At 41.2% G+C, this 15,000-nt stretch overlaps 2 annotated features.

Moving 5' to 3' along the window:
* Positions 8,055-8,581: an enhancer, noted in NCBI's record as "NANOG-H3K27ac-H3K4me1 hESC enhancer chr20:12562956-12563482 (GRCh37/hg19 assembly coordinates)". NCBI's record gives its function as "activates a minimal SCP1, AML or CMV promoter by ChIP-STARR-seq in naive H9 embryonic stem cells {active_cell/tissue: H9 hESC(naive)}" and the evidence as "EXISTENCE:reporter gene assay evidence [ECO:0000049][PMID:30033119]".
* Positions 8,582-9,108: an enhancer, noted in NCBI's record as "NANOG-H3K27ac-H3K4me1 hESC enhancer chr20:12563483-12564009 (GRCh37/hg19 assembly coordinates)". NCBI's record gives its function as "activates a minimal SCP1, AML or CMV promoter by ChIP-STARR-seq in naive and primed H9 embryonic stem cells {active_cell/tissue: H9 hESC(naive and primed)}" and the evidence as "EXISTENCE:reporter gene assay evidence [ECO:0000049][PMID:30033119]".

The following is a 15,000-nucleotide window of genomic DNA, read 5'->3' on the forward strand; positions in this document are numbered from 1 at the left end:
GAGGCAAGGGGCAAGACATTGTGTAACCTGGCAGGCCACTCCAAAGGTGGTAATGTAGAACCTCCAAGTCAGACAGCTCCCTTACAGAAGAAAGTAGTCTCCAAAGAAGTTGGCAGCCTGGAGCCATCTAACAGCCATCACTCATGGCAACTGGGAGATGGCTACACTTGCTGGATAAAGGGAATCTGGGCAGAGAGCAAAGAGCATCTACTACACTTGGAATAACTTTATTCTTTCATATGTGTGTACCTATGGATGGAGAGGATCTCTCTCTTCCTCTCTCTCTCTCTCTCTCTCTCTCTAATCTATCATTTTGCAATTTACATTAGTCTATCTACCTATGATCTATTTATTTCAGGCTTTCCTTAAATGTTGCTATGTTGCTAAACTTGTAGATTAGTTCCATTTGATTCTATCTACCCAAAGCTATCTTTCTAAATGACATTTTAAAAAGCAAATTGTTTAAAAAGTAGCATAGTTATATGACGAGGTTTTACAATATGTTTTTGGTCCTCTGTTATGCTAGACCAAAAACTTTTTTAAAAAAGAATGAATATTGCATGTCAGCTGATAGAACAGAATTGCATCTCAGCTGTGAGAAGAACATTTTGTCTTTTTAGGCTGTCATAATTAATAGCTTCAGTGTTTGATTTGCGAGGTTTTTCAAGCTACAGAAGATTGTTTCTATATACACGATAAAGCTATTAAACACTGAAATATATTTTCAAAAGCTGCATACAAAAATCAGCTTTAAAACTTTAATATTCGCCACACATGGGCCTGGAAGTAAGGAAGGCATCTGCTATTCTCCTCTCCTCATGGCTATTTTCAAATTATCCTTCTCTTGGCTTTCTAAAAGAGCTAGGTGTTCATTTCAGGTGGTATCAGTAGTCTATTGCCGAAGTAACGCTGCATAGCAAGCCATCCCCAAAGCCAAAGGCTTAACACAATGAGCACGTATTTAGTTCTCAGGCCTGCAGTTTAGCAATTTAAGCTGATGTATTAGTTATATATTGCTGCCTAACAAATTATCCTAAAACTCAGCAGCTTAACACAATACCCATTTATCATTCTCAGTTTGCATGAGTTAGGAATTAGGTGCAGCTTAGGTGAGTCCTCTGGCTCTGGGTGTCTCACGGGTTACAATCAAGGTATTGGCTGAGACAAGGGTCATCTCAACGCTCGACTGGAGGTTGATCCACATTCAAGATCCCTGTTGTGGATGTGGCTGGCTTCAGGTCCTTGCTGGCAGTTTGCTGGAAACATCAGTTCCTTACTATGTGGGCTTCTACAAAGGACTATTCATAGCACAGCAGTTGGCTTTCCCCCAGAACAAGAATCATAGGAGAGGGAGAAAAGAATGAACAAGATAGAAATCACAGTCTTTTATAACTTCTTGGAAGTGACATTCCATCACATTTGCTGTATTCTATTCATTTAAAAACAAGTCCCTAGGTCCAGCCCACATCCAAATAAATGGGGTTACTTAAGTACATGTATACCAGAACCACTGGGAGCCATGCAAGCTGCTGCCTACCACAGCTGGGTTCAGCTGGTTCGTTTCCTCAGGTTAGATTGGTCTTGTCATATATCTGGGAGTCAGCTGGCCTTTGGCTGATCTAGGGTGGCTTTGGCTGTGGTGGTTTGGCTCTGAGCCTTGTTTGTTTTATCCTCTTAAAAAACAGCTGGGGCTTGTTTTCATGATGTTCTCATGGAGTCATGAGAAAAGAAGCAGAAACACCCAAAGCTGCTTGAAGATTAGGCTCAGAACAAGTATGACATCACCTTCTCTGCACTCTGCTGGCCAAAGCAATTCCTGAAACCAACACAGATTCAAGGTGTGGGGAAATAGGTTCTCTCCTTGACAGGAAATGTTGCAGGGTCACATTCAAAAGGACCTGAATACAGGGGCTGGGGGCGCTGAGGAACGGAGGCCACTAATACAATCAAACCAGTTGATTTTATCAGCAGATTGTTTCTCTTACTTTGTACCCTCAAAGCATTCACCCAGCTAGTAGCTATTCCCCTCATAACTTGAAGCTTCTTTTTCCACTCACTGTGACTCTACACAATGCTATTTCTGTTGGATTCTTGGGGCTGTTGATGTCCACAAACATCAGTGTTTTCCATTGGAGTACCATTGTTATTTGAGCAGAGAAAATTCTTCATTTATATGAAACTATTGCTTGGGTGGCAAGGAATTTGACTTCCCTGACTCCTGCCCTCTAAATGCCAATAACACTTCCCAGTTTGAAAATGCTCCAACAGGGAGGGAGGCTTCAAATAAGCAAGTGGAGAGGGCTAGAATGATCCATGTGACATCAGCATCAATTTATGTTTATCTTGATATAGATACATACAGGGACATACAGAAATGTTCAGCTGAGAGAGCCTAGAAGCGGCAGCACACCAGGAGCAAAAAGCAAAATGAGCGCCCAGATCTTTGTTTCTAACACCATTCTCTGAGAAAAGGAACCAGAGTTCTTTGGTGAAATCACTCACCTAGGACTGGCAGAGAAAATATACAAGATGAATCTGGAGCATACTTTAGTACCAGAAAGTAAATGTTAGGAAACAAACAAAAGCCCCACAATGATGGGGGCATGTCAGAAGATCACAGGTGCAAACTGAGAGAGCTCCCAAGGCTGACGCAATTTGTGTAACAAAATAAGTAAGGTAGAATCAGATTATAGCCCAAAGTATAAAATACATATCCATACTGATATAAATACATGATTAAATAAATACACAAATGGAGAAAAATAGACAACCCCCCCAAGTACAAGAATTCCAGATAATTTAGGTAACTACTCTGCACTCAAGCATGACTCCCTACTCCTTCGGTGTGGGCTGAAGATCATGCTTAATCCCAAAGAGTAGAGTATGGAAAGGAAAATAAAAGAGTAAATTTGCAGTGGAGCAACTTGACAGAAACTACCTTAGTCAGGTAACCAAGGTCAACATCAACAGTGATAAGCCATTGTTCATAGCATTTTGCCTTGATATGTGATGAGAATGAAATTTTGCCTCTGTAAAGTGGGTCTGTCTCCACAAAACCCATTAACTCCATTCTAATCTTGAGAAAAAAACAAATCAGACAAATCTCAGTTGAGGGATGTTCTACAAAATACCTAAACGAGTAGTCCCCAAAACTGTCAAGGTCAGCAAAAAAACCAGGAAAGTCTGAAAAGGCAACACAGCTAAGAGGAGCCTAAGAGACATGACAACTAAATGAATGTGGGATCCTGATGGGATCCTGGAGCAGAAGACAGATGTTAGATCAAAACTAAGCAAATATCAATAAAATATAGACTTTAGTTAGTAATAATCTATCAATATTGGTTCATTAATTGTAGCATATATTCCACGCAAATGTAAACTATTAATAATAGGGAAAATTGAGTATTAGATATATGGAAACTATGTACTATCTTAACTTTTCTGAAAATCTAACACTATTATAAAATTAAGTTTATTTTAAAAAATCAACACATTTTCAACCCCACCCACCCACCTCAGGTGAGTGGTAGCACTCTTGTTTGAAAGATACTTGTGTAGAAATTCTTCTGATGCCTGTCAGTCCTATGACCTCCTTTCTGTCCTTCACTCTTGCTCAACCACTCACTCCTGCAGTCACAACCAGACGCTATCATCACCAATAGTACAAATCCTTCATTGTCTCATTTCAAACATCTCTCTCCCTTTTGTGAGCCTCCCCTCTAGTACCAACAATTCTCCACACCTGGGTCAGGACCTTTACCCTACCACCTTTTCACTGCCTCCTCTTGTCCTCATATTTGAATTTACCTATGTTAAGTTGTAGAGTCAATCATTAGAATTGCTCCTTTGGTTATACTCTTAACTCTCTTGTTTCTCTTCTGCTTTGACCTATTATTTTGGCAAAACTCCAGCCCTGATTAAATTGGCCTCCCAACGTATTAATCTTATGTACCCATTTAGCTGAGAACAGCTGGCCTGTAATGTTGCCTGGTAAGAATGCCCTACTTGTCTAGTCAAATTTATTCCCCTTCTCTTCTAGACAACTGTTTCATGTTTCCTCCTCTTCTTAAACCTGCAATATATCTTTCCTTGTCCTCACTTTCAGCTGGTGATATAATTCCTTGTTTCAACGAGAACATTCAAGCATTCAAAAAAGAACTTGCATAAGCTCCCACCATCACAATTACCCACTTACCTGCATCTGTGTCCATTAGCCTGTATTCCCCCCATTACTGTGGAATACTCAACTGGATTTTCAACTAAGGCTAAACTTAGCTTTGGTACTATGTTCTATCTTTCATGCTTTTCCAAAGACATTATTGTAACAGTTTTTCCTCTTTCTTCTGCTTCATCAAAATTTTCCTTTCTACTGGATTTTTCTTGTCAGTGAATCAGTAAGTTGTTTTATTCTCCATCTGAAAAAATACATATATCTCAATCCACTTCCTTCCCCAGGTACAGTGCCATTTGTTTCCTCTTATTTATAGTCAAACTTCTTTTAAAAGTAGCCAGTACTCTTCTAGCTCCACCATTGCTCACTTCTCATTCTCTTTTAAATCCACTCTAATGAGACTTTTTCTCTACTACTCCACGAAGGTCAAACTTCCTCTCTATATTGCCAAACCCTATGGTAGATGCTTGGTAAATATTTATTGACATTTTTCCACAGCTAGCTCAGTCCTCCTTGAAAACTTTTCTTTGACTTCCAGGAATTCACACCTTTAAGGCTTTTTGTCTTATTGGCAGCTTCTTCTCAGCCTCTTGTGCTAGTCCTTGTATCTCTTTAATCTCTTAATTGTGCAAAGTCCCAAAGCTCAGGATGGATACCTCTTCTCAATCCATCTGCGCTTACTCTCTGGTCCTCATTTGGTCTTTGTTTTAAAGACATCTTCACACTAGTGATTCTCAAGTCTATATCTGCAGTCTGTATTTCTACCCTGAACTTCAGACTCATATATACAATTGCTTACCTAAGTCTCCATCTGGATGGCTAATAAGCATCTCAAACCGTACATGTCAAGAACTGACCTCCTTATGTTCTCCTCCCTTCCTCATCCTGATTTTTCTAGAGACTTTCTATCTCAGCAATGGAACACTATCCTTCCAGTTGATCAGTCTAACATGTGGTGTCATCCTTGATCATTTTATTTTACTCACACCTCAAGTCTATGCCATTCAGAAATTCGGTTGGCTCTATCTCCATAACACACCTCAAATCCCACCACTTCCACTTCTACTGTATCTGCTACAACCACGCTGACTTAAGTCACCATCAACTTTTGACTGGATTAGGTTCATAGCTTGTTAGCTAGTTTCCAAGCATCTGATCATGGCCTCTTCAATTTATCCACTACAGAGCTGAGAGTGTGCTGCTGCTAAACAAGTCAGGTCATGTCACTCCTCTGCTCAAAACTGTCTGGTGGGCCCCCATATCCCCTTGAGTTAAAATCCAGGTCATCATCATGGCTTGGAAGCTTATAAAGTAACTTTGGTCAGTTTTTAAAAATGGCTCCCCCTCTCTGCCTTCAGTGCTTTATATGGCTAAACCTTGATAATGTGGCTGGTGCCTTTGTAAGAATGAAAGTGCTCTGACCCCCCACTGGCAGATACCACCCTGCCCCAGAGCTCACACCTCGGCAAGTAGACAGTTGGCTCCCTCAACAGGCATTTTGTGCAGTGCACACACTGCACAGCTGTCCTAGCTCTATTCAGCTGCCTGATCCCTTCCCATTAATTCTCTGCATTCATTCTTCACCAATCTTCACTGCATTCACTCTGACCAATCACACTGCCCTCCTCACTACTCTTTGGACATGACAGACATTCTTTCACCTCAAGAGCTGTTTTCCAAACTCAAATTTCTTTCTCCAGGTATTATCCACAAGGTCCACTCCTTCAGGTCTTTGTTCAAATACCACCATTGCTATGAGGTCTTCCCTAACTCTCCATTTGATATTATAGTTATTTCTTCCTCTACTCTGTATCCCTCTTAAAGTTTTTAAAAATTTTCTTCACAGATATTACCTACCATCTATTTCATATTCCACTTGTGATTTTCTTTCTGCATGTTTGTTGACTGTATTTCTGACCTGAAGGTACACTCCAAGAGGGCAGGAGATTTATTTTACTTTTCGTTGTTGTTAATTGCTGATTCCCCAGGACCTACAGTTCCACATGCTCCATAGTAGGCATTCAAATCCTTATCACATAAATGAAGATATAGAAAGAGGCTTTTTTCTTTTTCCATTTTTACTTTAGAATCAAGGGGTACATGGGCAGGTTTGTTGCTTGGGTATATTGCAGGATGCTGAGGTATGGAATATGATTGAACTCATCACCTAGGTAGTGAACACAGTATCCAATAGGTAGCTTTCAGCCTTTGCCCCGTCTGTCTCTCCCACTTCTTTTTTTTTTTTTTTTTTGAGACAGAGTTTCACTCTTGTTACCCAGGCTGGACTGCAATGGCGCAATCTCAGCTCACTGCAACCTCCACCTCCCAGGTTCAAGCACTTCTCCTCCCTGAGCCTCCCCAGTAGCTGGGATTACAGGCACCCACCACCACGCCCGGCTAATTTTTGTATTTTTAGTAGAGATGGGGTTTCACCACGTTGGCCAGGCTAGTCTCGAACTCGTGACCTCAGGTGATCCATCCGCATCAGCCTCTCAATGTGCTGGAATTACAGGCATAAGCCACTGTGCCCGGTCTGTCTCTCCCACTTCTAGTGGCCCCCAGTGTCTATTGTTCCCATCTTTGTGTCCGTGTAACCCAATGTTTAGCTCCCACTTACAATGAGAACATGTGGCATTTGGTTTTCTGTGTTAGTTCACTTAGACAATATACCACTTCTCATACAAAAACTAGCCAGGCATGGTGGCAGGCACCTGTAATCCCAGCTACTTGGTAGACTGAGGCAGGAGAATCACTTGAACCTGGGAGGCAGAGGTTGTAGTGAGCCAAGATCAACCCGCTGCATTCCAGCCTGGGCAACAGAGTGAGACTCTATCTCAAAAAAAAAAAAAAAAAAAGAATGTACCACTTCTCTCTCTGACCTATTTCTCCTCCACTAATCAATATTTATTTCCTTTCCTCACATTCTAGTTATTCCTGAATGTAGGTTCTCGAGTTCTTCTTCCAAATGCATACTTACTATCTGCCATGCACATCCATTGACCTCACTCATATATTTTTTCTCCATTGCTCAAAGATTTCCAGATCAAACACTCACATAGTATGATTAATTGGAGGAAAGCTTCTACTACATAAATATTGTATTGGAAAACAATAAAGATGGAGACATTTAATCTTTTAAGCCCAGCACATATATCTGTTTGTAAAATTAACTCTCCAAAGAGAGTGAGAAGTGTAAACCAAATGGTATTTTAGGATGATTTCAAAAATAGCAGAGGAGCCTCAGTGAATCATGAATATAATGGTTGTTTCTGTTGATGTATAATTAAACATTAAGCAACCCCAATTGTTATAAGAGACATTTAACTGAAATCCATCGGCTTCAAAGGCACAAAGAAGTGCGTTCTTCTGCACAGTACTGCATTTTCCTCTTTGGTTATAAAATGTTAACTGGGGAAATGTGAGCTCTTTATTATCTTTGGCAAACATAATTTTCCTTTTCTGTCAAGTGACTGTAATGTCATTTTCTTGGTAACACCTCTGGCCTTGGAAAGTTTGGCTTAACTTTATTGATCTCTTTATACATTTACAACAAAACAAACATATTTTGTTTGTAGAAATATGTCATTTGTTGCTCTTTGTTTGAGCTCAGCTGGCGAATGGGATGAGAAACCGAATTTTAAGAAAAGAACAACAGTGCCATTTGAACAGCTGCAGGAATGGATCTCTGAAGCAAACAGCTGGGCCACATAATATGTCTCAGACTGAGCTCCTTTGGCCTCAAATTGGGGCCTGAAAATAAAAGAGAAGGGCCTGAGAGACGGGTGATGTGGAGCTGGAAGCTTGCATTTTAGTTGTCAAATTCATAGCATGTTCATGCCAAATTGAATCCTATTACTTTCCATGAGTTAGAATGGCAGGTTTTTAAAGCTACTTCTGAGTTTCAAAAAGTTACCACTGTCAAAGTCATTCAGGCCATACAGGGATAGAAGATATTCTTTCTACACCTATCCCAGAAAACAGTGATTTCATGCCTTGTACCAGTTACAAACATGCCCAGTAACAAGGAAGTCCATAAACCACCTGATTTCTGTCCACCAAATGAGCTATCAAGAAACAGCCTCGGGGAGGAGCCAAGATGGCCGAATAGGAACAGCTCCGGTCTACAGCCCCCAGCATGAGCGACACAGAAGATGGGTGATTTCTGCATTTCCATCTGAGGTACTGGGTTCATCTCACTAGGGAGTGCCAGACAGTGGGCACAGGTCAGTGGGTGTGCGCACCGTGCGCGAGCCGAAGCAGGGCGAGACACTGCCTCACTTGGGAAGCGCAAGGGGTCAGGGAGTTCCCTTTCCGAGTCAAAGAAAGGGGTGACGGACGCACCTGGAAAATCGGGTCACTCCAACCCGAATACTGTGCTTTTCTGACCGGCTTAAAAAATGGTGCACCATGAGATTATATCCCGCACCTGGCTCGGAGGGTCCTACGCCCATGGAGTATCCCTGATTGCTAGCACAGCAGTCTGAGATCAAACTGCAAGGCTGCAGTGAGGCTGGGGGAGGGGCGCCCGCCATTACCCAGGCTTGCTTAGGTAAACAAAGCAGCCAGGAAGCTCGAACTGGGTGGAGCCCACCACAGCTCAAGGAGGCCTGCCTGCCTCTGTAGGCTCCACCTCTGGGGGCAGGGCACAGACAAACAAAAAGACAGCAGTAACCTCTGCGGACTTAAATGTCCCTGTCTGACAGCTTTGAAGAGAGCAGTGGTTCTCCCAGCACGCAGCTGGAGATCTGAGAACGGGCAGACTGCCTCCTCAAGTGGGTCCCTGACCCCTGAACCCCAAGCAGCCTAACTGGGAGGCACCCCCCAGCAGGGGCACACTGACACCTCACAAGGCAGGGTATTCCAACAGACCTGCAGCTGAGGGTCCTGTCTGTTAGAAGGAAAACTAACAAACAGAAAGGACATCCACACCAAAAACCCATCTGTACATCACCATCATCAAAGACCAAAAGTAGATAAAACCACAAAGATGGGGAAAAAACAGAACAGAAAAACTGGAAACTCTAAAAAGGAGAGCGCCTCTCCTCCTCCAAAGGAACGCAGTTCCTCACCAGCAATGGAACAAAGCTGGATGGAGAATGACTTTGACGAGCTGAGAGAAGAAGGCTTCAGACGATCAAATTACTCTGAGCTACGGGAGGACATTCAAACCAAAGGCAAAGAAGTTGAAAACTTTGAAAAAAATTTAGATGAATGGATAACTAGAATAACCAATACAGAGAAGTGCTTAAAGGAGCTGATGGAGCTGAAAACCAAGGCTCAAGAACTACGTGAAGAATGCAGAAGCCTCAGGAGCTGATGCGATCAACTGGAAGTAAGGGTATCAGCAATGGAAGATGAAATGAATGAAATGAAGTGAGAAGGGAAGTTTAGAGAAAAAAGAATAAAAAGAAACAAACAAAGTCTCCAAGAAATATGGGACTATGTGAAAAGACCAAATCTACATCTGATTGGTGTACCTGAAAGTGATGGGGAGAATGGAACCAAGTTGGAAAACACTCTGCAGGATATTATCCAGGAGAACTTCCCCAATCTAGCAAGGCAGGTCAACGTTCAGATTCAGGAAATACAGAGAACGCCACAAAGATACTCCTTGAGAAGAGCAACTCCAAGACACATAATTGTCCGATTCACCAAAGTTGAAATGAAGGAAAAAATGTTAAGGGCAGCCAGAGAGAAAGGTCGGGTTACCCACAAAGGGAAGCCCATCAGACTAACAGCAGATCTCTCGGCAGAAACCCTACAAGCCAGAAGAGAGTGGGGGCCAATATTCAACATTCTTAAAGAAAAGAATTTTCAACCCAGAATTTCATATCCAGCCAAACTAAGCTTCATAAGTGAAGGAGAAATAAAATACTTTACAGACAAGCAAATGCTGAGAGATTTTGTCACCACCAAGCCTGCCCTAAAAGAGCTCCTGAAGGAAGCACTAAACATGGAAAGGAACAACCGGTACCAGCCGCTGCAAAATCATGCCAAAATGTAAAGACCATCGAGACTAGGAAGAAACTGCATCAACTAACGAGCAAAATAACCAGCTAACATCATAATGACAGGATCAAATTCACACATAACAATATTAACGTTAAATGTAAATGGACTAAATGCTCCAATTAAAAGACACAGACTGGCAAATTGGATAAAGAGTCAAGACCCATCAGTGTGCTGTATTCAGGAAACCAATCTCACGTGCAGAGACAGCCATAGGCTCAAAATAAAAGGATGGAGGAAGATCTACCAAGCAAATGGAAAACAAAAAAAGGCAGGGGTTGCAATCCTAGTCTCTGATAAAACAGACTTTAAACCAACCAAGATCAAAAGAGATAAAGAAGGCCATTACATAATGGTAAAGGGATCAATTCAACAAGAAGAGCTAACTCTCCTAAATATATATGCACCCAATACATGAGCACCCAGATTCATAAAGCAAGTCCTGAGTGACCTACAAAGAGACTTAGACTCCCACACATTAATAATGGGAGACTTTAACACCCCACTGTCAACATTAGACAGATCAATGAGACAGAAAGTAAACAAGGATACCCAGGAATTGAACTCAGCTCTGCACCAAGCAGACCTAATAGACATCTACAGAACTCTCCACCCCAAATCAACAGAATATACATTTTTTTCAGCACCACACCACACCTATTCCCAAATTGACCACACAGTTGGAAGTAAAGCTCTCCTCAGCAAATGTAAAAGAAATTATAACAAACTATCTCTCAGAACACAGTGCAATCAAACTAGAACTCAGGATTAAGAATCTCACTCAAAACTGCTCAACTACATGGAAACTGAACAACCTGCTCTTGAATGACTACTGGGTACATAAAGAAATGAAGGCAGAAATAAAGATGCTCTTTGAAACCAAGGAGAACAAAGACACAACATACCAGAATCTCCGGGACGCATTCAAAGCAGTGTGTAGAGGGAAATTTATAGCACTAAATGCCCACAAGAGAAAGCAGGAAAGATCCAAAATTGACACCCTAACATCACAATTCAAAGAACTAGAAAAGCAAGAGCCAATACATTCAAAAGCTAGCAGAAGGCAAGAAATAACTAAAATCAGAGCAGAACTGAAGTAAATAGAGACACAAAAAACCCTTCAAAAAATTAATGAATCCAGGAGCTGGTTTTTTGAAAGGATCAACAAAATTGATAGACTGCTAGCAAGACTAATAAAGAAAAAGAGAGAGAAGAATCAAATAGACGCAATAAAAAATGATAAAGGGGATATCACCACCGATCCCACAGAAATACAAACTACCATCAGAGAATACTACAAACACCTCTATGCAAATAAACTAGAAAATCTAGAAGAAATGGATAAATTCCTCAACACATACACTCTCCCAAGACTAAACCAGGAAGAAGTTGAATCTCTGAATAGACCAATAACAGGATCTGAAATTGTGGCAATAATCAATAGCTTACCAACCAAAAAGAGTCCAGGACCAGATGGATTCACAGCCGAATTCTACCAGAGGTACAAGGAGGAGCTGGTACCATTCCTTCTGAAACTATTCCAATCAATAGAAAAAGAGGGAATCCTGCCTAACTCATTTTATGAGGCCGGCATCATTCTGATACCAAAGCTGGGCAGAGACACAACCAAAAAAGAGAATTTTAGACCAATATCCTTGATGAACATTGATGCAAAAATCCTCAATAAAATACTGGCAAACCGAATCCAGCAGCACATCAAAAAGCTTATCCACCATGATCAAGTGGGTTTCATCCCTGGGATGCAAGGCTGGTTCAATATACTCAAATCAATAAATGTAATCCAGCATATAAACAGAGCCAAAGACAAAAACCACATAAGTATCTCAATAGATGCAGAAAAGGCCTTTGACAAAATTCAACAACCCTTCATGCTAAAAACTCTCAATAAATTAGGTATTGATGGGACGTATTTCAAAATAATAAGAGCTATCTATGACAAACCCACAGCCAATATCATACTGAATGGGCAAAAACTGGGAGCATTCCCTTTGAAAACTGGCACAAGACAGGGATGCCCTCTCTCACCACTCCTATTCAACATAGTGTTGGAAGTTCTGGCCAGGGCAATTAGACAGGAGAAGGAAATAAAGGGTATTCAATTAGGAAAAGAGGAAGTCAAATTGTCCCTGTTTGCAGATGACATGATTGTATATCTAGAAAACCCCATTGTCTCAGCCCAAAATCTCCTTAAGCTGATAAGCAACTTCAGCAAAGTCTCAGGATATAAAATCAATGTACAAAAATCACAAGCATTCTTATGCACCAACAACAGACAAACAGAGAGCCAAATCATGAGTGAACTCCCATTCACAATTGCTTCAAAGAGAATAAAATACCTAGGAATCCAACTTACAAGGGATGTGAAGGACCCCTTCAAGGAGAACTACAAACCACTGCTCAAGGAAATAAAAGAGGAGACAAACAAATGGAAGAACATTCCATGCTCATGGGTAGGAAGAATCAATATTGTGAAAATGGCCATACTGCCCAAGGTAATTTGCAGATTCAATGACATCCCCATTAAGCTACCAATGCCTTTCTTCACAGAATTGCAAAAAACTACTTTAAAGTTCATATGGAACCAAAAAAGAGCCCGCATCGCCAAGTCAATCCTAAGCCAAAAGAACAAAGCTGGAGGCATCACACTACCTGACTTCAAACTATACTAAAAGGCTACAGTAACCAAAACAGCATGGTACTGGTACCAAAACAGAGATATAGATCAATGAAACAGAACAGAGCCATCAGAAATAAAGCCGCATATCTACAACTATCTGATCTTTGACAAACCTGAGAAAAACAAGCAACGGGGAAAGGATTCCCTATTTAATAAATGGTGCTGGGAAAACTGGCTAGCCATATGTAGAAAGCTGAAACTGGATCCCTTCCTTACACCTTATACAAAAATCAATTCAAGATGGATTAAAGACTTAAACGTTAGACCTAAAACCATAAAAACCCTAGAAGAAAACCTAGGCATTACCATTCAGGACATAGGCATGGGCAAGGACTTCATGTCTAAAACACTAAAAGCAATGGCAACAAAAGCCAAAATTGACAAATGGGATCTAATTAAACTAAAGAGCTTCTGCACAGCAAAAGAAACTACCATCAGAGTGAACAGGCAACCTACAACATGGGAGAAAATTTTCGCAACCTACTCATCTGACAAAGGGCTAATATCCAGAATCTACAATGAACTCAAACAAATTTACAAGAAAAAAACAAACAACCCCATCAGAAAGTGGGCGAAGGATGTGAACAGACACTTCTCAAAAGAAGACATTTATGCAGCCAAAAGACACATGAAAAAATGCTCATCATCACTGGCCATCAGAGAAATGCAAATCCAAACCACAATGAGATACCATCTCACACCAGTTAGAATGGCAATCATTAAAAAGTCAGGAAACAACAGGTGCTGGAGAGGATGTGGAGAAATAGGAACACTTTTACACTGTTGGTGGGACTGTAAACTAGTTCAAACATTGTGGAAGTCAGTGTGGCGATTCCTCAGGGATCTAGAACTGGAAATACCATTTGACCCAGCCATCCCATTACTGGGTATATACCCAAAGGACTATAAATCATGCTGCTATAAAGACACATGCACACGTATGTTTATTGCGGCACTATTCACAATAGCAAAGACTTGGAACCAACCCAAATGTCCAACAATGATAGACTGGATTAAGAAAATGGGGCACATATACACCATGGGATACTTTGCAGCCATAAAAAAGGATGAGTTCATGTCCTTTGTAGGGACATGGATGAAATTGGAAATCATCATTCTCAGTAAACTATTGCAAGAACAGAAAACCAAACACCGCATATTCTCAGTCATAGGTGGGAATTGAACAATGAGATCACATGGACACAGGAAGGGAATATCACACTCTGGGGACTGTGGTGGGGTGGGGGGAGGGGGGAGGGATAGCATTGGGAGATATACGTAATGCTAGATGACGAGTTAGTGGGTGCAGCGCACCAGCATGGCACATGTATACATATGTAACTAACCTGCACAATGTGCACATGTACCCTAAAACTTTAAGTATAATAAAAAAAATAAATAAAAAACAAAAAAACACAGCCTCATCATGACTGACACTTTTGATTGACACCAATTTACGTAAGAGCTATTTTCCTCTTTAAGGGCTCTTAGCATATTCAAATAGTATTTCTTGTGTCCATCTAAGTAGCAAAATATGTTTATTAACTTTTAGAGACACGTCTTTTCAAATTAAAAAAGGTATACTTATTTAAACACTTAAGGTGTCATTGTTTTATCTTAACCATTCACCTCCTCCCACCCATGTTAACATGTATTAGTCCGTTCTTGAACTGCTATAAAGAAATACTTACGACTGGGAAATTTACAAAGAAAAGAGGTTTTATTGGCTCATGGTTCTGCAGGCTATACAGGAAGAAAAGCAGCTTCCGCTCGGCTGCTGGGGAAGCCTCAGAAAACTTTTACTCAAGGCGAAGGCAAAGCCAGAGCAGTCACATCACATGGCCCAAGCAGGAAAGAGAAAAAGTCGGGAGGTGCCACTCACTTTTAAACCAACAAGATCGCCTGGCGCGGTGGCTCACGCCTGTAATCCCAGCACTTTAGGAGGCCGAGGCGGGTGGATCACGAGGTCAGGAGTTGGAGACCAGCCTGACCAACATGGCAAAACCCCATCTTTACTAAAAATACAAAAAAATTAGCTGGGCTTGGTGGTGCGCGTCTATAATCCCAGCTACTTGGGAGGCTGAGGCAGGAGAACTGCTTGAACCCAGGAGGTGGAGGTTGT

The sequence above is a fragment of the Homo sapiens genome, chromosome 20 (genome assembly GCF_000001405.40).
Source record: "Homo sapiens chromosome 20, GRCh38.p14 Primary Assembly".
NCBI lineage: Eukaryota > Metazoa > Chordata > Mammalia > Primates > Hominidae > Homo > Homo sapiens.